Consider the following 23,533-nt stretch of genomic DNA (forward strand, 5'->3'; position numbering starts at 1 on the left):
TGGAAGAATGCCAGGCACCTGGCGAGGAAGCCATGGTCTCTTCCTTCCTTGACTTAGAACAACTAGGAGGCTCCTAGGTTCAGTCTTACTGGGAAGGGGATGGGAATGTGGGCCAAAGGACAGGGCAGAGGCTGATCTAAATACGTGGGCCAGCTCCACTGAGGAAACTGAGATGGACCAGTGTGGCGTGGAAGAAACCAAGGGGAGCAGCCAAATGTCCTCTTCTCCAGGCTGCCTGGCACAGAGCTGGGCACACAACCAACCCTGCAGACCAGCTGTCCAATGGGCAAGGGAAGGAGCAAGGCAGGTCCATCTGCAGTCTCGGCTGCTGGGAAGGTGAGACAGTGCAGGGCATTGGAGGCTGACTCCACAGTGGACAGAGAAGACTTTCAGGGAGATCAGCTCAGCTCAGTCTGAGGGGCAGGGACAGGAGGAGATAGCGTTTCTGCGGTTATCAGGAAGGGAAGTGGAGGAGGCAGCCAGGAAGATATCGGGAAGAAAGAGGAAGGGCGTGTGCTAGATCCCGAAGAGGAAAAAGCAGCTGAATTTAGCAGCCTCAGGGGTGTGAAGGTCAAAAGTATCAAGGAATCTTAAGCCCAGGGTTCTGGGCCAAGAAAGCAGGACTCTCTCTCATTTACATGGGCATCTGAGATGAAACCTGGTGTCCGGGGACTTCTACCAACCTAGGATTCGTGGGGGAGGGCAGTGGGACTGGTTCAGAACCTGGCTCCCCTGTTTACTAGATGTCTGACCTTGGGAGAATTACTTTGCCTCTCCGTACTTCATTATCTCCATCTATAAAATGGGGAGAACACCACCTTATAGGGTTGCTCTAAAGATTAGACAAGGCCAAGTGTTCAGAACAATACTGGCATATACAAAGAGCTCCAAAATTTTATTTTTCAGTTACTTTGCTCCAGTGGTGGGTGAATGCAGAGGGCCTGGCTGGGGAAGAGGGTCTCTGCCTCTCTGGGTTTAGACCAGGACAGCAGAGCTGCAATACTCCCCCTGCCCTAGATCAGGGACATTGCAAAGACTGGGGGGACAGGCTGGACAGCTGCTCAGAGACTGCAGCAAGCAGGGCTTGGTCGCCCTGGGAGAGCAGGCAGAAGGTCAAGGAAGTTGTACAGGGAATGCCACCTCCCTGCACACCATCATCTATCCTGGGCTTTCCAGGGCAACCTAGATTTCAAACCCTCTGCTCCCTGGTGCCCCTGTGAACAGCAGAACTCACCACCCTGTGCCCCTAAAGTCCACTCACTGCAAATGCAGGGCCCCATTCTGAGACTGCATTCCTAGCAAATGACTCTCCCTGGTCAAGGAGACGGCTACTCTAACAAGGGCATGGGGAATACACGTCTGGGAAAGAATGGGTGCTCACCCTGTTCAGGCAGAGGAAAAGCCGGGGAAGGTGAAAGACCAGGGGTGGCCACAACCCGCAATCTTGAGACAGTGTTGGGGTATGGAGGTGGGGGCTGGGTGGCAGTAAATGGTACTCCAGAATTTAATTAAACACAGCTTCCTCTTTAATATCTCCCAGGACCAGGCCCTTCACTGCACCAGCCAGAGTTCTGCTCTAACTAGCAATGCTGGGCTTAAAGGGGTGGTCCTGGGATCGCCCTCCCTGCTGAGACCCTCACAACTGCTGCGGCTGTCAATGGCCCGATTCCTCACTGCCCGGAGGGCACCGGCCAAGGCCCTTCTTCCTAACCTCTGGGCGGGCGCACCCCGCCCCAGGCCCTGCCAGGGAAAAAGCGAACTCCCCAAGGGACGTGGTGGGAGGGACCCAAAGGCAGCCTTCCAGGGAGCCCTGGGGGTGGGGAAGACGCCAGGAAGGGGAGAGGGCGGCGCCGATTGACAAGCCCATCCCGGGTAGGGTCTGCGCTCTTCTCGTTCAATAAAATCCAAACGGGGTCCCGAGGCTGCTCGGATCCCGTGGGACACGCCGCCCCTGTGCCCAGCTCCCAGCAAGGTCCTCGACTCGGGCTGAACGGCGCTGGAGGGGACCTCGCAGGGCTGGGTCTCCCGGGCCTTTCCCTCCCCGCGCCCATAGCGGGTCCGGGCAGAGGGGTCCCGAGGGCAGGGCCGGCCCGGACGCGGCGCCCCAAACGGCGGGCCGGGCAGAGCCCAGCGCCCCGCTCGCACCCAGCCCGCCCGGGCCCCCCACTCACCGGCCTGGCGGAGGCAGGATCCAGGCGTCGCCGCAGCGCCCGGGGCTCGGCCCGGCCCGGCCCGCCGGCAGGAGGCAGCTCCACGCCGCCGCCTCCTCCTCGGCCAGCCCGCTCGCGCCCCTCCCGCACACTTTCCACAGGAAATGATTAACTCGGGCCGCGGCGCGTTCCCATGGCAACCGGCTCCGACCCCGGCGGGGGGCGGCGGCGCGCGCCCGCACTCACGCGCACTGGCGCGCACGCGTCAGCCCGGGCGCGCCCCCGCAGGTCTCCCGCCGGCACTCCCACTCCCACTCCCACTCCTTCGCGGGGCCTCCCACTCGGTCTCTCCCGCCTCCCCGCGTCCCGCACTCGCACTGGCACACGTGCTCATGCGTTCCCTGAAGGCTCTCACAAAACAGGCCTGCACACGGGCTGGCACACACGAGGCAGCCCACACAGCCCCACACCTGGTGAGCCATGCGTACTTTTGCACAGCCTCAAACCCGAGTGCAAAACTTCCACGCGAGTACTCACACATACACTTCTCACGCGGGCTCTCATACCAGTACGTGTCTTCCCATCCCAACACACACACAAGCTCTTACTCACGAGACAATACATGTACATCCCTTACCGTGTCCTTGCACGCGCTGGCGCACATGCACTCACACTGTTTACAGCGCACACGCTCTCACTCGCTCCACCACCTACTCGCTGGCCAGGCCGCCTTCTAGCCACAGCACTTCCTACCTCTGCACCCCCAGCCCCACCCCAGCAAATGAATATCTTCCCAGCAAGGAAGCTGCCTGGAGTCCCTTAAGGTAAAACACACCAATGGTGCAGCAGTTCCCGGCCTTGCTGCAGAAGGCCCTGCTACTGGGGCACCTAGAGCCTCAGAAGAGGCCTGGGGGAGGCCAGGGGCCTGCCAGCCGGGAGAGACAGCTGACCTGGAGGAGCCACTCTGTTCTTTGTCTCCCAAACAGAGGCAGCATTTTATTCCAGAGCCAGCAGCAATATTCTCCCTCACTCTCCACACCCCCGGGTGCGGAAGAGGAGAAAGCAAGTCACTCTGAAGCCAGCCCATGCAGGCTGACGGTTCTGCAGATAATCCCAGGAGGGCGGGTACTCTGTCCCTTCCTGCTTGTCAGGGGATGGCCCAAGAAGATCAAGGAGAGGACTGGAGGGGGTCGGGCAACTCCAGGTGGGTTCTATCTCCTGCTGCCGCCCAGGCGCTGGGCTGCCAGTCAAGAATCTCGACCAGCGACGGAGCCAAGGGCCTGGGCCTCAGATTGTTCTGGACGCCAGAGCAGGACAGTCACAGTCCCCCAGCTGGAAGCAGCCTAGTGCATGCTTTATTTGACAACTGAGATTCCTCAGTGAAGGCCTGATAGAGGGTGAATGTAACGCTCCTGGAATCATTCCCTAGAGAGTTAGATTTCCAGCTGAACACCACACTGGAGAACCCTTCCAATGGGAGAGAAAGCCTTATTTGGGGAGTTATGATCTCTGAATTCCTCTGCCTGCCCTCCAAACAGCAGTGATCCAGGGGACCGCAAGGGTGGATGAAGGCAAAATGTCTCTAGAATTCTGATTTAGTATCTATCTCCCTTGATTATAGTCCCTATGAGTTGATGGGGCGGGGGATGGGGAGGACAGAATGTCTTTAAAGTCCTGGTTCAAAACTGGAGACTTTTTCTTACTCAGGGATTGAGTACATTGACATTAACTGTAGGTCCTTCCCACCAAAGCCAAAGCCAGATTTTTAAATTAATAATAACATTTATTGTTCTTTTGCTTTGATTACAAAAGTAATAGATGTTCATTGTAACCATATCCCACACACTGGAGATAAATGCTGCCAACACTTTAGAAGTCTTTTTTTTTCCTGTGTACATAATAGATGCCATTATTGAAGCTAACACTGTGTCAGGCACAGCACTAAGCTCTTTATAAACAAAATCCCATTTAACCCTGAACACCCTATGAACACCAGTACTGTTTCAGGACACCCGTGTTTCAGGAAAGGAAACTGAGCCTCAGAAAGTTTGTTCACAAATGCAGTGTGTGATAGAGCTATGACTCCAATAGGTACTCACACAGTACTATCAGATGCATATGGGTATAACAACTTATTAAGATCAAAGCACCAGCGAAGGAAAAAGGAAATTGAAGTGTAAGGAGGTTGTATTTTTGGAATTCTAGCAAAACTCCGATTTGAAACGTAAAAACTACTTGTTTCATGGTTGTTGCATTTTTGAGACAAGATCTTGATCTGTTGCCCAGGCTGGAGTGCAGTGATGCAATCATAGCTCACTATAGCCCCGAACTCCTGGGATCAAGTGATCCTCCCACCTGAGCCTCCTGAGTAGCTGGGACTACAGGCACACACCAGTGTGCCTAGCTAATTTTTTTTTTTTTTAAGTAGAGATGGGGGTGTCTCACTATGTTGCCCAGGCTGGTCTCAAACTCCTGGGCTCAAGGGATCCTTCTACCTTGGCTTTCCAAAGTCCTGGGATTACAGATGTGAAGATGTGAATCACTGTGCCTGACTCAATTTTTTTTTTTTTTTTTGAGACGGGGGCTCGCTCTGTCACCCAAGCTGGAGTGCAGTGGGATTACAGGCGCACACCACCACACCCAGCTAATTTTTTATATTTTTGGTAGAGACAGGGTTTCACCATGTTGGACAGGCTGGTTTCGAACTCCTGACCTCAAGTGATCCCCCTGCCTCGGCCTCCCAAAATGTTGGGATTGCAGGCATGAGCCACCGTGCCCAGCATGACTCAGTTTTTTAAAAAGAATATTGTGTGGAGTCGGGGTCTAGCTCTGTCGCCCTGGTTGGTCTCAGAATCTTAGCCTCAAGCGATCATCCTGCTTCAGCCTCCCAAAGTGCTGGGATTATTTGCATGAGCCACCATACCATGCCCATCCCAGTTGTTGGAATTTAAGAATGTACAATGTCATCAGGAACTACGTACCAACTCCAAGGTCATTTCTAACCCAGAAACTTCGCTGATGATTTGCATAGGAGGCTGCCAACTCTCCTGGCCCCGGGAAAGGTGCAAGTTTTGCTGAAACCTGGCCATTCCAACACTGAAGTCCTAAACCCTTGAGGGAGGACTCTTGGGTTCAGCCTTAGCCTTGACCCTTCCTGCCGAACTCTGGCAGAGGCACAGCTGTCTCAGGGAGGGCCAGACAGAAGACAGTGTCCAGAACACTGCAATTCCACGCCCACATCCACCCCATCCCCAGGCAGGGACTAGCAGCGCCATCTTTGTGTTCAGACAAGATCAGGTGTGTTCACGGTGGTATGCCCATAGACTTTTTTTTTTTTTTTTTTTTGAGACAGAGTCTCACTCTGTTGCCCAGGCTGGAGTGCAGTGGCGCAATCTCGGCTCACTGAAATCTCTGCCTCCTGGGTTCAAGCAATTCTCCTGCCTCAGCCTCCCAAGTGGCTGGGATTACAGGCATGCGCCACCACGCCCAGCTAATTTTTGTATTTTTAGTAGAGACGGTGTTTTGCCATGTTGGCCAGGCTGCTTTCAAACTCCTAATTTTTGTATTTTTAGTAGAGACGGGGTTTTGCCACGTTGGCCAGGCTGCTTGCGAACTCCTGACCTGAGGTGATCTGCCCGCCTCAACCTCCCAAAGTGCTGGGATTACAAGCATGAGCCACCACACCTGACCCATCTTTGTGTTCAGAGGGCCTGAAACCCTTTACTGCTCAGGCATTCGTCAGAGAAGTGGCCAAGAGCCTGAGAGTTCTGCTCCCCAAAGGGAAGGAAAGAAGGGGAATGAAAAGTCAGATTGTGTTTAATCTGATTCTCATAGCAACCCAGAGTAAAGCACAGATAAGATTTACATGATTTTCCCATTTTAAATGATTTAACCTCAGATCAAGTCTTCTCCGAGCCTTTGCAAATGTTGTCCTCCCTGCCTGGAAAGCCCCTCTCCTTCACCCCATTCTCATCTGCCTCCACTAACCCTTACCTGGCCAATTCCATACCTGCTTGTCCCTCCTTCAAGTTTAGAGGTCACCTTCTTTGACCCTCCCAGGCACCAGCAGGCGGGCTCAACTCACCCCCTGCAGCATCCCCGACCCTGGATCATGATGGCGTTCCTGTGTATACCATCTGCTCCTTCAGGACAGGACCCTTTCGTTACTTGATCACAGGGAAATCCTCAGCTGACCCCAGCTCAGGGCCTGGTATCACAGACATGTTCATTGAATAAATCCATAGATCCCATAGAATTCAGAAGGGAAGAACAGGTGCGTGAAATGTACCCAAACAGACTTTCTTCCCATGTAAAGTAATGATAATTTCTACCAAAAGGAAGTAAGAGAAGGCTCCTTAGCAATTATTTCCATGTGGTCAGGAAGGAGTGCCCTGCAGCTGTGAAAAGTGTGTCCTCTCATGCTTCTGGGTAACAGAACATTTATTGAAGTTGGAGAAACTCATTCTGGAGTGAGCCGCATATTAAGTAATCCTGACCCAATTAGCTGCTTTTTTGAATCCACATCTTCCAATCTTCCAATCCCTCTGAAATCATTCATCATGAGCACCGCAGAAAGAACTACGGAGGAGGCTGGACGTGGTGGCTCACGCCTGTAATCCCAGCACTTTGGGAGGCTGAGGCGGGCAATCACCTGAGGTCAGCAGTTCGAGACCAGCCTGGCCAACATGGCTAAACCCCATCTCTATTAAAAATACAAAAATTACCCGATGTGCTGGTGGGCGCCTGTAATCCCAGCTACTTAGGAGGCTGAGGCAGGAGAATTGCTTGAACCCAGGAGGTGGAGGTTGCAGTGAGCAAAGATCATGCCACTGCACTCCAGCCTGGGCAACAGAGCAAGACTTTGTCTAAAAAAAGAAAAAAAAAAACCCCGTGGAAGAGCTCTTGGAGGTGAAGAGCCTGGCACTGCACCCAGCCCCATAAGCATGAATTTGGTTTCCAGCTTTGCATGTCACCAACTGCAGGTCTTGGGCACATGACTCACCCTGAGCACCTCAGGGGGTCTGGCACAAGGCTCACAGCTGCAAGCTCTCAGGAAGCCAGGCTCCTCAGTGGGCATGGAGAGGTGGTGGTCTTGGATGTCCCTTGACTGGACTGTAAATTCCTGTCATCCTTGTCTGCTCTAGACCCAGCTCAGCAAGCATTAGGTGTTCAAGTGATATTTAAACTAATGGTACTTTTCTCACTCTTTTCTCTCCCTCTCACCTTCCTGCTCCCTGTGTCCCTTCCTTTCTAGAAGCTGTATTAACAGGGGAAAACAGTTCTCCCATTTTCAGAGAACCAAGGCAATCTTTCCCCCAAGAAAATCACCTTGCCGGCCAGGCACAGTGGCTCATGAGACAGGAGGATCGCTTGAGGCCAGGAGTTCTAGACCAGCCTGAACAACATATTGAGACCCTGTCTCTACAAAACAACAAGCCAGGCGCGGTGGCACAGGCCTGTGGTCCCAGCTACTCAGGAGGCTGAGGCGGGAGGATGGCGTGGGCCCAGGAGTTTGAGGCTGCAGTAAGCTATGATCGTGTCACTGTACTCCAGCCTGGGCAACAGAGCAAGATCCTGTCTTAAAAAAAAAAAAAAAAAAAAAAAAAAAAAACCTTCTAAGAGGACTAGAAAATAAAAAGGAAACCACCTTGCTTTAAAATCCAAATGGTGGCTGCCTTTCTGCATTGGCCAAAAAGACTGAACTCGACAGTTCTCCCCTAACTCTCAGTTTAGGGGAACCTAAAGCCTTATGACTCAAGGAGGAATTTGGCGGAGATTCCCTCCCTCCTAGCACTCCAAGGCTAAAAGCAAACGGAGGCTTTGTGAGGTTTTTTTTCCCCTTTTATCATTTCCTGTAGTCTTAAAAAAATGAGAGGAATGCAAACATTGAGGAGATAATGGACGTAAGCACCAGGTAATAAAAAGATTTAGCAATAACCGCCCTGAGAGTAGCACGGGCCAAATAAGCCCCGCCCCCGGCCCGCCTCTCAGCCCGAGGATCCTCCCACCATCCTCCAGAAGCCGCCGGGCTCCTCCTTGCTAAGTGTTCTGCCGCTTCTCTCCTTGCTCCTAAATTGTTATAGCTCCGGGTTCTAAACCAGCACATGCGTTATTAACATCCTTCGCATTTTTCCCCACTTCCTCATTCACTTCTCCCCACCTGCTGCAAATTCTAGGTGGCAGTTTTTGTTTTTGAACTTAAAATTTTTTTTTTTCTGCACAAATCTAATAGAAACCAAGAGAGAGAGGAAAAACACAAAAACTAAAACACCAAATCCCACCACCCTTCACTTATTGTCATTGGCCCAGATTTTTCTTTCCAGTATCTGACCTTGAGCTGATGTCATTTCTGTGTTAAGGAGAGACAGTATAGAGAGATGGCTAAAGGTGGTTCTGAGGCCAGGCAGACCTGGGTTTGAGCTCATTCACTGGCTCAGTCACTTCTGCTGTGCCTCAGTTTCCTCCTGTGAAAATGAGAGTAGGGCTAGTGTCTAACCCATTGAGTTATGGTGAGATGTAAATTGGAGCAAGCACATAGCACCCTCAGCCCAGCATCTGGCACACAATTGGCATTTCTGCAAACACAAGCTGCAGTTATAGTGGGAGGCAAAGACCGGATAGAATTTTTTACTCTGCCTTTTCTTACTTTGAATCATGTAAGTGCTGGGTGTGGTGGCTCATGCCTGTAGTCCCAGCTTCTTGGAAGGCAGAGGTGGGAGGATCGCTTAAGCCCAGGAGTTGGTCAGCCTGGCCAACATAGCAAGACTCCCATCTCTAAATTTTTTTTAATTATTATAATAAGCATTTTCCATGTCACTTTTTCCTGCTAATGCCTACATTTTTCTGAAGTGCAGACATCATAGGATAAAGCCAAGGTCACATTCAGAATGGAGGTTCCAGTGTCTGGGGCGCACCTAGCACTCAATAAAAATGGCTGAAAAGTATTTCATTTATTCACTTATTTAGAGTTGGGGTCTCGCTCTCTCACCCAGGCTGGAGTGAGGTGGCATGATCAGAGCTCACTGCAGCCTTAAACTCCTGAGTTGAAGCAGTCCTCCCACCTCAGCCTCCCGTGTACTGGAACTACAGCTGTGAGCCACTGCACCCAGCAAAAAACTATTTTAAATGGCTGCATAATATTCCACTGAGAGCCTGTGCCCTGACTGAGCTGGCCATTCCGTAGGGTCTGATATTTGAGTAGCTCCCATTTTTGTCACTTTTATAAACAGCATTGCTGTCACCATTGCCACCCACACAGCCCGTTCATTCCCTGGTGTGGGGAGGGAAGGGAGAAGAGAGGTTGTCAATTTCATAAAAAATCTTTCTGAATAAAGAGTCTGAGCATTTTTTTTTCACTTTCTAAACATGTTGCCAGATTGCCCCTCAGAAGGCCTGTACCAAATTTACACTGTCGTTGGCAGCATTTTTTGACGAGAACTACTTTTCACGCTAATTTACAGTTTTTCTCTTGGATCTGGAATTCTCGCCCTGGCTGGTTCTCCTGGGAGGCATGAGGCATATATAAAGATATCTGAGCGATGGCTGTCACCAGAGGGGCGTATCTGGTTCTTCTGCCAGGTGCTCAGGCCGGGAGTGTTTCTGTCTGCTGGGCCAGGCCAGGTGGGGCTGAGAGCACTGACTCAGTGCTCCCAATCCCTGCCTGCTGTTAAGCCCTCAGAGATCTTCTGAGGTCAGTCCTGGAACGCCTCAGTACCCCGCGGTCCAACACTCTGGCCCATCCTAGACGGATGAGTCTCATCTGGTGCCACCACCATGATTCCTGCTCTCACACCCTGGCACTTCACTGGGGCTCCTTGCAGTAAGTCAATCAGCTACTACTGGGGGAAAAAAAAATTCCTCCTGGGTGGGGAGATGGGGACAGGGGCCATAAGGGAAGCCACGTGCTCCTGGAAAGCCATAGCCACAGCCCCTGACCACCTGCTGAACTCTTAGCACCACTGCTGCTGCTGCCTTTAAACTGTAGCTTCGCTTTGCTGAGGTTCTGTGGTGCGCAGCCTCTCCCCTAGCTCTGGTCCTCCTCCTCTGGGGGTGGCCCTTGTTTGCAAACAGCAACAGGAAGTTTTGACGCTGCTGATTAACTAGACTCCCACAGCTCTCAGTGCTGAGTCATCGCCACCAGTGTCAACCTCCCGCCCGCCCCGCTGACACCACCAGCTTCCAGGTGACCGAGAGGAAGCAGCAAGGATCCTGCGGTTCCAGTGGCTTCCATCTGCCACCTTCCAAGGGAGGGGAGGGACAAACTTCCATCCACCCCAGACAACCAGAATGTGCAGGGCCCTGAATGCCAGGACGGGAATTTAATCTAATTCAACTTCAGCAATGGGCTGAGGGACAGCTTCATGCCAGGCAAAGGGAAAAACTCTTTACACACAGGATTGCCTTTGCTTTCATTCAATCCCCGCAACAACATGTGTGGTAGGTGTTATTATTCCCATTGTACAGATGGAGAGACTGAGGCCAGTGGAAGGCCTATGGATGTGTAGGGGCTGCTGTGGGAAGATAGCTTGGAGTGCCAGAGATGGTGGGTACCGCCAGCAGGAGCTGTGTCCCCAACCCACGATGTGACCTTGGTCAGACTTCCTCCCTGTTCTGGGTCTCATGCCCCTCCCTGGGTAAAGGAGGAGGGTGGACTGGTGACCTTCTCAGGGCTACAGCCACAAGGAAGTGAGTGGGCCAGCTGGAAGGGATGGTCCTCATTCTGGGACTCTGCTTGCTGAAAGCCTGATCCAAGGGCAGGAGCATCCCACCTCAGTACCTGGGGTTGGCTTCACTGTTCACAGTTGCTTCTCCAAGGAACTCCACTGAAAGAAAGTAGTTGAGTGGTTGCCAGGGCCTGGGAGGGAGAATGATGAGTGACTATGAATGGGGCTTCTTTGGGGCGTGATAAAATGTCCTAAAGTTAGTTTATGGTGACAGTGTACAACTCTGTAAATATACTAAAAACTATTGGATTGTACACTTTAAACAGGGAATGTTATGGTATGATAATTATATCTCAGTAAAGCCGTTTAAGAGAGAAAGGAAGAAGGAAGGAGGGAGGACAGGAGAGAGAGAGACCTACACAGAGGTCAGGCCAAGCGCGATGGCTCACGCCTATAATCTCAGCAGTTTGGGAGGCAGAGCAGGGAGGATCACTTGAGGCCAGGAGTTTGAGACCAGCCTGGGCAACGTGGCAAGACCCCATTTCTACAAAAACATTTAAAAATTAGCTGGGTATGGAGTGCATACCTATGGTCCCAGCTACTTAGAAGGCCTGAGGCGTGGGGCCAAGCGGAGTGGCTCACACCTGTAATCCTAGCACTTTGGGAGGCTGAGGCAGGTGGATCATTTGAGGTCAGGAGTTCGAGACCAGCCTGGCCCACATGGTGAAACCCTGTCTCTACTAAAAATACAAAAATTAGCCGGGCATGGTGGCATAAGCTTGTAAACCCAGCTACTTGGGAGGCTGAGGCGGAGAATCACTTGAACCTGGGAGGCAGAGGTTGCAGTGAGCCGAGATTGTGATTGTGCCACTGCACTCTAGCCTAGGTGACAGCAAGACTCCGTCTCAAAAAAAAAAAAAAAAAAGAAGATTGAGGCCAGAGAATCACTTGAGCCCAGGAGTTCAAGGCTGCAGTGAGCTATGATCAGACCACTGCACTACAGCCTAGGTGACAGAGCGAGACCCCGTCTCTCTCTTTTTTTTTTTTTTTGAGACGGAGTCTCGCTGTCACCCAGGCTGGAGTGCAGTGGCGCGATCTCGGCTCACTGGAGGCTCCATCCCCTAGGGTTCACGCCATTCTCCTGCCTCAGCCTACCGAGTAGCTGGGACTACAGGCGCCCGCCACCTCGCCCGGCTAATTTTTTGTATTTTTAGTAGAGATGGGGTTTCGCCGTGTTAGCCAGGATGGTCTCGATCTCCTGACCTCATGATCTGCCCGCCTCAGCCTCCCAAAGTGCTGGGATTACAGGCATGAGCCACTGCGCCCAGCCCCCCATCTCTTAAAAAAAAAAAAAAAGAGGTCAGGCCAGAGCTGCCTTTGGGATTTGCCTTCTGGGAATAGGGCCCTCAGCACCCAGCCCCTCTGCAATCATCCCCCTCTAAGCAGCCTCACTCCAGAGTCCAGGAAAGGTGTGTGTGAAGACACCCAGTGGCAGGCGGTGGCCCCAGCTGCTGACCGAGTGTGATGGGGCCCTGGCCTTTGGTGCTTGCCTTCCTCAGAGCGGAAAGAGCCATGAATCAAAGGGCAGGTGTGTGTGGACCTGAAGGAATGTGGGGAGGGTGGCAAGAAAACGGCTGGAGGTGGAGCGGGAGAGACCCCATGAGTCAGGGTGAGATGAGGTGTTGCTCAGACAGGGAGGGCCTGGAAACAAAGCCTGGACTGGAAACACCGAAACACCGGGCTGGCCAGGGCGCTCTCAGTTGCCTGGAAACATCTTAACACTCCAGAAAGTGTGAGTAAGGAATACCTGCTGCCCCTGAGGGGCTCCCCCGAACTGGTCCAGCCATGTCTGCTTGGCAGTTGTGGGGCACAGGCAGATGCAGCTGCCCAAGAGGCAACCCCAGACTAGACCTAACGCTGAGCCAGGTGCACAGGTGCAAGGGATCCATCACGAGGGCTAAACTGGCCAATAAGAGGCAGGAGCTCATTCCACTTGTACTGTTTAGGCAACTTGCTGTTGAAAAAGGAGAACCTGGCCAGGCACAGTGGCTCATACCTTTAATCCCAACACTTTGGGAGACTGAAGCTAGTGGATCACCTGAGGTCAAGAGTTCGAGACCAGCCTGCTCAACATGGCGAAACTCCATCTCTACTGAAAATACAAAAATTAGTTGGGCGTAGTGGTGCACGCCTGTGATCCCAGCTACTTGGGAGGCTGAGGCAGGCGAATCACTTGAACTCGGGATGCGGAGGTTGCAGTGAGCCGAGATTGCGCCACTGCACTCCAGCCTGGGCAACAAAGCAAGGCCTTGTCTCAAAATAAAATAAAATAAAATACAAAAATAAATAAATAAATAAATAAATAAAAGGAAAAGGAGAAGCCAGAGGATCTTGGAGGCACAGTGTCCCTGTCTAAATCTCCAGATAACCCAGAAAGCACGCACTGCCCCCACGCTACTCCACCCCCTCCACGCCTCCCTGTCCTATGCTCTTCATGCCCACCTCCTGGGGCAAATGGCACCGGATGCCCCTGTCTTAAGTGAACAAATGGAGACTCTAACCACCTTCTGAGAATCCCAGCCCTGGGGTCAAACCTGCATGCCTGCCGAGTGCCTGCATGACAATAATTAGGATTTCCTATGCTCTGAAGCAAACCTCCCACCTGGCATCCTGCGTGTGTCCAGCACCTCCCTGCACCCGGGCACCACTCATGCAGGTGGGCTTGGCATCCTCACAGCCTCTGCAGCACGTGCCTTCAGAGGGAAGAGAACCGGGGACTCGGGAGACTCAAGGCATCTCCAGAGTCACAGCCTGAAGACAGAACCCCATGCTCTCCTGGACATAAAAGCCATGCGGTCCCTGGTAGACAGGTAGGCAGAGGTGAAGGGATCTACCCTGGCACCGGGTAGGGGCTGTGCAGTCACTCCTGCTTATTCTTCCTGTACATCCCGCTACTGTCCTCATGCTATAGATTTGACTGGGGCAGGCTGGCTGCAGAGTCCAAGTCTTGAACCACTGCACCACACTGCCTCTCAAGGGCACAGTCAATGGGGTACCTTGTCATTGTGGGTCATTCCTCAGCATGCATTCAGAGCTCTTCACCATCTGCCTGCAGCCGCCCTGCCCAGCCTTCTCTCCCACTGACCCCACAAGGCACCCTCTTTCTGGTCTTTGAATTTTTCATATGCTCCACCCACACCCCCATATCCCCACCTGCAGCCGTTTACCTGTGAGGCCCAATGGAAGCATCACCTCCTCCATGGGGACTCCTGATACCACCTAGTCAGAAGTTCCCCAGGACCACCTCCCCTTCCCTTAGCTCACCTAGCACTGGATTCACAACTGTGGGGGACTGTTAGTCTCCTACATTAGATTGGAGGTCCCTGATTCAGGCTCCCATGCTGTGTGACTTAGGGTAAGTCTCTGAGCCTCAGTTTCCTCATTAACAGGTAATATTTATTGAGCACGTACTATGTGCCAGGTACTATGTGCTAAGTACTCTACATGAACTCTCCCATTTAATCCTTACAGCACCTATGAGGCAGGCACTATAATTATCCCATGTTACAGATGAAGAAACTGTCACTGTCATTAGGACCACCATCATTATCATTACTATCATTCTTTTTTTTTTTGGAGACAAATGCTCTGTCACCCAGGCTGGAGTGCAGTGGTGCGATCTCAGCTCACTGCAACCTCTGCCTCCCAGGTTCAAGCAATTCTCGTGTCTCAGCGTCCCAAGTAGCTGGGACTACAGGCATGCACCAACACACCCAGTTGTTTGTATTTTAGTAGAGATGGTGTTTCACCATGTTGCCCAGGCTGATCTTGAACTCCTGAGCTCAAGCAATCCACGAACCTCGGCCTCCCAAAGTGCTAGGATTACAGGTGTGAGCCACCATGCCTGGCCTATTATTGCCATTCTTTTGTCCGCTATAAAACCTAGTGCACAGCAGACACTCAAACTCAGCAAAATTCAAATATGGCTGGAACTGAAACCAGCCTTAGGTAGGAAGGAATTTCAGAAACAGAGTTCTGCACATGCTCTAGGACACGCAGGCCTGGCCCTGTCCAGGCTGGGGTGATACCATCTTTGGAGGCTGATGCTGGCAGTCTGTTGTGGCTGGGAACTTGGGGTGACCTCCTTTTGCTTCTCACATCAGCCCTGTCTCTACCCACAGAAACAGACTCTGCCCAAACAAGTCCTGCAATGCACAGAGCCCGGTGGCAAACAAGCCACCTGGATAAATGGTGCCCAAGGCTGTGGGGGTCCTGGGAGGCTGACTGGAGGCAGAATTGTGCTCATTTGTAACCAGAGTAGCTCCGGGTTGCTTCTGTTAGCTCAAGGCCACAGGTACATCTCTGTGCTTAGAGATCCACACCGCACCCCACCACCGCCACGTGTTTTCTAGGATCCCCTCCAAGCATTTTCCAAAGCCCGAGGGGCTGCTTACAAGACTCTGCCCATCACCCCCAACCTGGCTGATCTGGGACCACATCAGCACCTGGCCTGACTCTTCTACCAGGATGCCCTCCAAGACCAACACTGATGCCTTAGTCACCCTCACCAGGGAGGCTGGGGGTGCCCCCACATGGCTGCTGCACCTGATGTTGGAAACGGAGGCTCCAAAAACGTAAGTGAAGTGGGTATTCCTGCTAAACACTCCACTCGGGGCCTGGGAGAAGGGGAGCAAATATCTGTCTACTCCCTCAACTCCACCCAGCCATGGCTTGTCCCACGGCCAAGTTGCCTGGGTCCTTGGGATCACCAACTTCTTCTGACTCTCTACACACACACCCCCAAACACCCCCAGACTCCTTTCCTGCCACTCCCCCACCTCAGGCACACATGCAGTGCTTGGTGCCTGGGTTAAGTCTGTGCCCTGTGGCGAGTGCTGCCCGGATACCCCGGGGTCCATTTGAGGATGAACTCGGCTGGGTCACCCCTGCTACAAACAGGCTTTTACATTCTTGAACTTCACCTGGGGTGAGGGTCTTCAGGAGTGCTGTCCCTTTTCCTCCTGAGGCCTCCTTGGTCCTGATGTTAGTGAGTGGCCATCCACGTACCCACAGGAAGGATGTGGTCAAATCCTCTTACCAGTGGCTCTGAACCATTTGACCTGCTACCTGAGCTGCTGGGGAGAGGAAAGGGGAGGGTGCTCCCACTTCTAATAGTTCATCAAGTTCTCACAACATCCCCATTCACAGGTGAGAAAACCGAGGCCCGGAAAGTGTCAACCCAAATCACGACACTCCTTGCCCCAAACCCAGAAGCCTGAGGAAGTAAGGAAGTGCGGTGGGATCTGTCTTCCCGTGTGTCTTCAGGATCCTGGGGCCTGCCCCTCCTGGCTTCCTCTTGAGGAAGGCCTCAGAAGACCCGCCTTTGGTCACAGGACAGAAGCTGGGCCAAGAGGCAAAGGTTTTGGCCGCCACAGGGGAAACTCTGGGCTCAGAGCTGCCGAAGTGACTCACGGGCCCTGCTGGGAAGCAGCTGACGTTCCTTGTCTGCGCCTTACAAAACCACACGGGCTGCGAGTGACAGCTGGCTGCTCTGAGTGGCGGAGGAATGTTGTTGCCAGACAGGTTCCTGAGGCATCTGCTGAGCTGTGCTCCAGAAACCAGCCCTGGGCAGCTGCCACACCAGGCAGCCTCCACCCCTCCCCACAACCAGGAGTCTTGGAGGGCACCCCCACCAACCTCAACAGAACTCTCCCCTCAGGGATCCGTGGAAGTCAGCCACTGCCACAGGGACAGCCACCCCTTCCAGGCAGGAGCTCATGGGAAACCAAGACCAGGGAACCCATCCCACCCCCAGTAAGACTTGAGGCCAGGGAGGTTGGAGGGGTCTCCCTGTGACCAAATCTGTGGCCATCACAACCGACCTTGAACCATAATACTAAGAATGATAACAATAATAATCACAGCTAACCCTTCACACTCACTACATGCCGGGCACCATGGCATGGAGCACTTTTTCTGAATTATCACATGCATTCATTTCCTGGGGCTGCCGTCGCAAACTGCCACAAACTGCATGGCTTAAAACAACAAAAACGTATTCTCTCGGCCAGGCGTGGTGGCTCACGCCTGTAATCCCAGCACTTTGGGAGGCTGAGGCGGGCAGATAACCTGAGGTCAGGAGTTTGAGAGCAGCCTGGCCAACATGGCGAAACCCTGTCTCTACTAAAAATACAGAAATTAGCCGGGCATGGTGGTAGGAGCCTGTAGTCCCAGCTACTCAGGAGGCTGAGGCAGGAGAATCGTTTGAACCCAGGAGGTAGAGGTTGCAATAAGCTGAGATCGCACCATTGCACTCCAGCCTGGGTGACAGAGAGAGACTCTGTCTCAACAGAAAAAAAAAAAGAGAAGAAAGAAAAGAAAAAGAAAAAGGACTGTATTCTCTTACAGCTCTAGAGGCCAGAAATCCAAACCCATGGTGTCAGTGGGGCCACACTCCTCCTGAAGGCCTAGGAGAGAATCCTTCTTTTCCTCTTCCAGCTTCTGCTGGAGGCGGGCGATCTTCAGTGCACCTCGGCTTATGGGCATGTCACACCAGTCTCTTTCCACCTGCACATGGTGTTCTCTCTGTTTATCTGTCTCTGTGTCCAAATCTCCCTCTTCTTAGGAGGACACCAGTCATATTGGACTTAAGGCCTACGCTAATCCAGTATGACCTCTGCATACCTCTGCAAAGGCCCAAAAAGGTTCCAAATAAGGTCATATTCCCAGGGTTCCAGGTGGATATAAATTTGGGGGAACATTATTCAACTCAATACACCATGTGTAATCTTCTTAATAAGACTGATATTGCTTTTATCCTCATCTTACAGATAAGAGGCTCAGAGAGGTTAAGCAACTTGCCAGAAATCACCCAGCCTCTGATTCTAGAATCCACACTACATTGTCTCACCCATCACCATCATCATCACCATCTCCTCACAGAAGCTTAGCATTTCATCACTTACAAAGCTTCTCCTGGCCATTGTCACATTTTCTTTCTTTCTTTTTTTTTTTTTTTGTTCTTTTCTATGTTTTGAGACAGAGTCTCACTTTTTTGCCCAGGCTGGAGTGCAGTGGCGTGATCTCTGCTCACTGCACCCTCCACCTCTATCTTTAGTAGAGATGGAATTTCACCATGTTGGCCAGGCTGGTCTCGAACTCCTGACCCCAAGTGGTCTGCCTGCCTTAGCTTCCCAAAGTGCTGGGATTACAGGCATGAGCCACCATGCCTGGTCTATTGTTACATTTTCTTCTTGCCAACAAAACCTTGAGGGGCTTGGGAAACAGTTGGTAAGGAAACAGTGGGTTCCATTAATTAACGTATCCATGGTCATATAGCTAACAAGAGGAAGGTCTTTTTGGTTTTCTTTTGAGAATGGATATCCCTCTGTCACCCAGGCTGGAGTACAGTGGCACAATCACAGCTCACTGCAGTGTTGACCTCCCAGGCTCAAGTGATCCTCCCACCTCAGCCTCTCCAATAGCGGGGATTATAGGCATGTGCTACGAAGCCCAGCTAATTTACTTTTTTGTGGAGACTGGATCTCACTATGTTGCCCAGTCTGGTCTCAAACTCCTGGGCTCAAGGGATCCTCCTGCCTCGGCCTCCCAAAGTGCTGGGATTATAGGTGTGAACCACCAGCCTGGCTGAGTGGCAGGTCTTTTGACCCCCAGATCCAGTATACTGCACTATGTAGGCTCCAAATGGAGACCTCGTGGGAACGTTCCAAGGCTTTGTAAGCTCCTCGAGGCTATTTGCCCAGCGTGGTCAATGCCATTGCTGTGTTTACTGATAACACCCACTTCAGCTACACCTGCCAAGCTCATAAAACATATTGTAAACCTGCTGCTTAAATTTACCTCCTCAAATATCAGCTCCTCATCCCCTGTCTGTTCTCTGCCAGCAGCAAGGCCAGCTATTTGAGCAGTGACAATGTGGAGAAAATCCAAGAATCCAGGGGGCCCTCACAGCTCACAGCTGAGCCACGGAGTCTGGGGAGACAGTAGCAGGTGTGGCAGGTGCTGTTCCTCCAGTTGCTGCCAGCCAAGAAGGGACGAGATACAGGCACAGCCCCACTGTCAGCCCCACTGTCAGCCCCACCCCAGACGTAGCTCCAGAACGGTCCAGTGTCTTCACGTTGAATGCTCACAAGGGTCCCACAAAATCCGTACTATTGGCTGGGCATGGTGGCTCACGCATGTACTCCCAGTACTTTGGGAGGCCGAGACAGGAGGATCACTTGAGCCTAGGAGCTCAAGACCAGCCTGGGCAACACAGGGAGACCCTGTCTCTACAAAAAATTAAAATATTGGCCAGGCACAGTATCATGTGCCTGTAGTGCTAGCTACCTGGGAGGCTGAGGAGAGAGGATGGCTTGAGCCTAAGAGTGGGGTACATGACTTGGCGCAAGCAGGAGGATTGGACTCCGAGATATCTCCTGTTTGGACACCAGCACACAGCAGCCAGAGAAGTCTTAACATATAAAGGAGAGACTGTCACCTTCAAACTTTATTTTATTTGTATTTATTTTTTATTTTTTTAAATTTTATTTATTTATTTATTTATTGAGATGGAGTCTCGCTCTGTCACCCAGGCTGGAGTGCAATGGTGTGATCTCCGCTCACTGCAGCCTCCGCCTCCCAGGTTCAAGCGATTCTCCTGCCTCAGCCTCCTGAGTAGCTAGGATTGCAGGCACCTGCCACTGCACCCGGCAAATTTTTGTATTTTTAGTAGAGACAGGGCTTCACCATGTTGGTCAGGCTGGTCTCGAACTCCTGAGCTCGTGATCTGCCTGCCTCAGCCTCCCAAAGTGCTGGGATTACAGGCGTGAGCCACCGTGCCTGGCCCTTTTATTTTTATTTTATTTATTTATTGAGATGGAGTTTCATTCTTGTTGCCCAGGCTAGAGTGCAATGGCACGATCTCGGCTCACTCCAACCTCCGCCTCCTGGGTTCTAACAATATTCCTGCCTCAGTCTCCTGAGTAGCTGGGATTACAGGCGCCAGCACCATGCCCGGCTAATTTTTTGTATTTTTAGTAGAGATGGGGTTTCACTATGTTGGCCAGGCTGGTCTTGAACTCCTGACCTCAAGTGATTTGCCTGCCAAAGTGCTGGGATTACAGGCATGAGCCATTGCACCCGGCTACCTTCTGACTTTAAAATGTGGCACCAGGCCTTTGCACTCGCTGTTTCCTCTGCCTGGGATGCCATTCCTTGAACTCCATGCAGCTCAGCTGTCCACTTTTCAGAGTGACTTTATTTTTTATTTTTTGAGAGACAAGATCTCACTTTGTCACCCAGGCTGGAGTGCAGTGCAGTGGTGTGATCATAGCTCACTGCAGCCTCGAATCCCTCGGCTCAAGCAATTCCCCCACCTCAGCCTTCTGAGTAGCTGGGGCTATAGGTGCACGCCATAACACTCGGCTAATTTTTTTATTCTTCGTAGAGATGAGGCCTCACTGTGTTTTGTTGCCCAGGCTTGTCTTGAACTCCTGAACTGAAGTGATCCTCCCACCTCAGCCTCCCAAGTGCTGGCATTATGGGTGTGAACCACTGTGCCCAGCCCAGAGTGATCTTAGAGTTGATGGCTCCCAGTTATTCTCTACCTTAACCTCCTGGTTTATTTCCTTCATTGCACTTAGCAAAACCTATGATTACCCTGTTTATTTATCATTTGCTTCTTAATCGTCTTTCTCTCATGAAGACAAGAGGCAAGGACTTTGTCTTGTTCCCTGCTGACTCCAGCGCTTAGCACAGTGCTTCCACATAGGTCTTCAGTAGATATTTGTTGAATGAATAAATGAATGAATTCAATAGAGAATACAGGTAAGGTGCAGTGGCTCATGCCTATTATCCCAGCACTATGGGAGGCTGAGGCAGCAGTATCACTTGAGCCCAGGAGTTTGAGACCAGCCTGGACAACACAGCAAGACTCTGCATCTACAAAAAAAAAATGTCTATTTAAAAAATTAGCCAGGTGAGGTAGCACACACCTATAGTCCCAGCTACTCAGGAGACTGAGGCAGGAGGATCCCTTGAAGCAGAAGTTCGAGGCCGCAGTGAGCGAAGATTACACCATTGCACTCCAGCCTGAGTGACACAGCAAGCCTGTGTATTAAAAAAAAAAAAAGGGAGGACTATGGAGTCACAGATAAATAACCCAAAGCCTGGCAAAAGACTGGGCTGACCATTGGGTATGACAAGGAGAGTGGTCTGGGAGATGCAGACCCAGGTAGAAGCTGGGGAAATATTGGGAGAGCGAAGAGGGGTGGCTGGGCATCAAGCCAAGAGGACTTCCTGGAGGAGAATGACCAGACCTTGCGAAAGGATGTTCTGTCTCTGGCTGTAGCTTTGCGCAGGGACAGGAAGCAAGAAGGAAAACCAGGTAACTCTCTGCTGCTTTAGCTACAGCTACCACCACAGAGACCAGAACAGGGAAGAGTTTATTAGTCCATCTTCTGCCCCAACCTATAACGAGGACTTGAATTAGGAGGCAGTGATTTCTAGACTCAAAGGTGAACTTTCATCCTACAATCCTCTGTGCCCATTTGCTGGCAATCTTTCCTAAGTGCTGAAGACTAATTGCCCCCCGCTGTTTCTTGTAGGCCTGGGGAAAGTATAAAGGTCAACCTTCTTATCTCTACTGGTACATATTCGGGGAGGGGTGCTATTATAGGTAGGAGATAGCTGAGCACCATGACAACACTTCGCTGACCTCAGAATTCCTGAAGTTAAAAAAAGAAAAAAAATTTGTGTGGGCATTGTGGCTCATGCCTATAGTCCCAGCACTTTGGGAGGCTGAGGTGGGAGGATGACTTGAGCCCAGGAGTACGAGGTGGCAGTGAGGCTTGTTCCCACCACTGCACTCCAGTCTACATGACAGAGTGAGACCCGTCTCTACCAAAAATAAAGATTAGCCTGGCATGGTGGCGTATGCCTGTGGTCCCAACTCTTCAGGAGGCTGAGGTGAAAGGATCACTTGAGCCTGGGAGATCAAGGCTGCAGTGAGCTGTGATGGAGCCACTGCACTCAGCCTGGGTGACAGAGTGAGACCCTGTCTCAAAAATAAAAACAAAAACAAAAACTAAAACAAAAAACTGCAAGTAAAACAAGAAAATTCCCCAAGATACAATGGCCATGTGGTTAAGAAAATGGGATCTGGAGTTAAGCTTGGAGCACCTTTCGGGGCTGAGCACCCTCAGGCAAGCCTCTTAACCTCTCTGAGCCTGTTTCCTTCTGTGCAAAAGTAATCACTTGTCCCTCAAAGGGTTGTTGAAGAGATGAATGAGATCATGTACAGGAAGATCCTGGAACACAGTAGCTGCTCAATACATGGGAGCACTCCCTGCTGGAGGGCCTTTCATTCTACAAAATAACTGGCCTGTCCTCTTTTAAAATGCCAATGTGGCTGGGCGCGGTGGCTCACACCTGTAATCCTAACACTTTGGGAGGCTGAGGCAGGCGGCTCACTTGAGGAGTTTGAGACCAGCCTGCCCAACATGGTGAAACCCCGTCCCTACTGAAAATACAAAAAGTAGCTGGGTGTGGCAGCGGGCACCTGTAATCCCAGCTACTCAGGAGGCTGAGGCAGGAGAATGGCTTGAACCCAGGAGGTGGAGGTTGCAGTGAGCCGAGATCACACCATTGCACTCCAGCCTGGGCGACAGAGCAAGACTCCATCTCAAAAAATAAATAAAATAAAATAAAATAATAAAATAAATAAAATGCCAGTGTCATGAAATACAAAGAAAAACTCAGAGACTGTTCCAGATTGAAGGCAACACAGAGCTTGGATTTCCTTTTGCCATGAAAGACATTCTTGGAGCAATTGACAAAATCCCAATACAGTCTGTAGATTATTAGGTAGCAGTGTTGTTTCAATGTTAATTTCCTGATTGTGATCATTGTATATTGGTTATGTAAACCAAAAATTAAATTCTAAGGTCCCCCCCAACCATCTGAATAAACCCCTCCTCTTGGCCAAGGGCATTCTAACGTTAACTTGAAAAACTGGTTTAGACTATGATGGAAGAGGGTTTGGACAAGCCTCATTATACTTTCCTCCCTTTTGGAATTCAAAAGTCGACCAGCATTAACATCAACACAGACCTTAAGTCTGATAAGAAACATTTACAATCTATTCTTCATCTGCATGATAAAACCATGGTCTCTACAACCCCTTATCATAACTCAGACATTTCTTCCTATTGATAATAACTCTTTCAACCAATTACCAAGCAGAAAAATTTTAAATCAACCTATGACCTGGAAGCCCCTGCTTTGAGTTGCACCACTCTTCCAGATGGAACCAACGTAAATCTTATATGTATGGATTGATATATTATGTCTCCCTAAAATGTATACAAGCAAGCTGTGCCCTGACTACCTTGGGCACTTCTCCTCAGGACCTCCTGAGGCTGTGTCATGGGCATGTCCTTAACCTTGGCAAAATAAACTTTCTAAATCGATTGAGACCTGTCTCAGATACTTTGGGTTCACAGTTATAAAAGAGAATTTCTTGTTTTTAGGAAACATACAGTGAAGTATTCAAGGGTTAAGAGGCATTATGTATGTACTGTACTCTTAAACAATTTCAGAGGCAAGAGTCTCACTCTGTTGCCCAGGCTGGAGTGCAGTGGTGCGGTCTTGGCTCACTGCAACCTCCACCCCCCAGGTTCCAGCGATTCTCCTGTCTCAGCCTCCTGAGTAGCTGGGGTT

General features: G+C 51.2%; 1 protein-coding gene and 1 long non-coding RNA gene across 19 annotated transcripts in view, besides 6 other annotated features; one reads left to right on the plus strand and one right to left on the minus strand.

Annotated features, from left to right (window-relative positions):
- The window catches only part of KIFC3 (kinesin family member C3), a 104,642-nt gene that overhangs the window by 41,982 nt on the left and 39,127 nt on the right, over positions 1-23,533 (minus strand). For 7 of the 18 annotated variants that reach the window (XM_011523078.2, XM_047434086.1, NM_005550.4 and 4 more), the window contains exon 1: positions 2,172-2,293. The exons of 8 other annotated variants lie outside the window; for them this stretch is intronic. Coding sequence is in view for 3 of the 10 variants with exons in the window: in XM_011523077.2 (XP_011521379.1) it covers positions 3,101-3,145 (45 nt within the window). In the remaining 7 variants the exon portion in view is untranslated. Of the gene's footprint in view, positions 1-2,171; positions 2,294-2,787; positions 3,056-3,100; positions 3,510-23,533 lie in introns of those variants that run through there. 3 more of the 18 variants (XM_011523077.2, XM_047434083.1, NM_001318710.2) reach the window with 3 other exon arrangements.
- Positions 1,236-1,912: an enhancer, noted in NCBI's record as "H3K27ac-H3K4me1 hESC enhancer chr16:57835346-57836022 (GRCh37/hg19 assembly coordinates)". NCBI's record gives its function as "activates a minimal SCP1, AML or CMV promoter by ChIP-STARR-seq in naive H9 embryonic stem cells {active_cell/tissue: H9 hESC(naive)}" and the evidence as "EXISTENCE:reporter gene assay evidence [ECO:0000049][PMID:30033119]".
- Positions 2,590-3,266: an enhancer, noted in NCBI's record as "H3K27ac-H3K4me1 hESC enhancer chr16:57836700-57837376 (GRCh37/hg19 assembly coordinates)". NCBI's record gives its function as "activates a minimal SCP1, AML or CMV promoter by ChIP-STARR-seq in naive H9 embryonic stem cells {active_cell/tissue: H9 hESC(naive)}" and the evidence as "EXISTENCE:reporter gene assay evidence [ECO:0000049][PMID:30033119]".
- Positions 10,036-10,165: an enhancer, noted in NCBI's record as "active region_10914". NCBI's record gives its function as "activates an Ori minimal core promoter by ATAC-STARR-seq in GM12878 lymphoblastoid cells {active_cell/tissue: GM12878}" and the evidence as "EXISTENCE:reporter gene assay evidence [ECO:0000049][PMID:35858748]".
- On the plus strand, positions 10,321-16,754 carry LOC388282 (uncharacterized). The gene is made up of 4 exons (NR_169553.1): positions 10,321-10,586; positions 13,464-13,683; positions 15,226-15,447; positions 16,022-16,754. It is a non-coding gene; the product is annotated as an uncharacterized LOC388282 (long non-coding RNA).
- Positions 10,356-10,415: an enhancer, noted in NCBI's record as "active region_10915". NCBI's record gives its function as "activates an Ori minimal core promoter by ATAC-STARR-seq in GM12878 lymphoblastoid cells {active_cell/tissue: GM12878}" and the evidence as "EXISTENCE:reporter gene assay evidence [ECO:0000049][PMID:35858748]".
- Positions 10,476-10,535: an enhancer, noted in NCBI's record as "active region_10916". NCBI's record gives its function as "activates an Ori minimal core promoter by ATAC-STARR-seq in GM12878 lymphoblastoid cells {active_cell/tissue: GM12878}" and the evidence as "EXISTENCE:reporter gene assay evidence [ECO:0000049][PMID:35858748]".
- Positions 16,513-17,058: an enhancer, noted in NCBI's record as "H3K27ac-H3K4me1 hESC enhancer chr16:57850615-57851160 (GRCh37/hg19 assembly coordinates)". NCBI's record gives its function as "activates a minimal SCP1, AML or CMV promoter by ChIP-STARR-seq in primed H9 embryonic stem cells {active_cell/tissue: H9 hESC(primed)}" and the evidence as "EXISTENCE:reporter gene assay evidence [ECO:0000049][PMID:30033119]".

Source organism: Homo sapiens, chromosome 16 (assembly GCF_000001405.40).
Source record: "Homo sapiens chromosome 16, GRCh38.p14 Primary Assembly".
NCBI classification, from domain to species: Eukaryota; Metazoa; Chordata; class Mammalia; order Primates; family Hominidae; genus Homo; species Homo sapiens.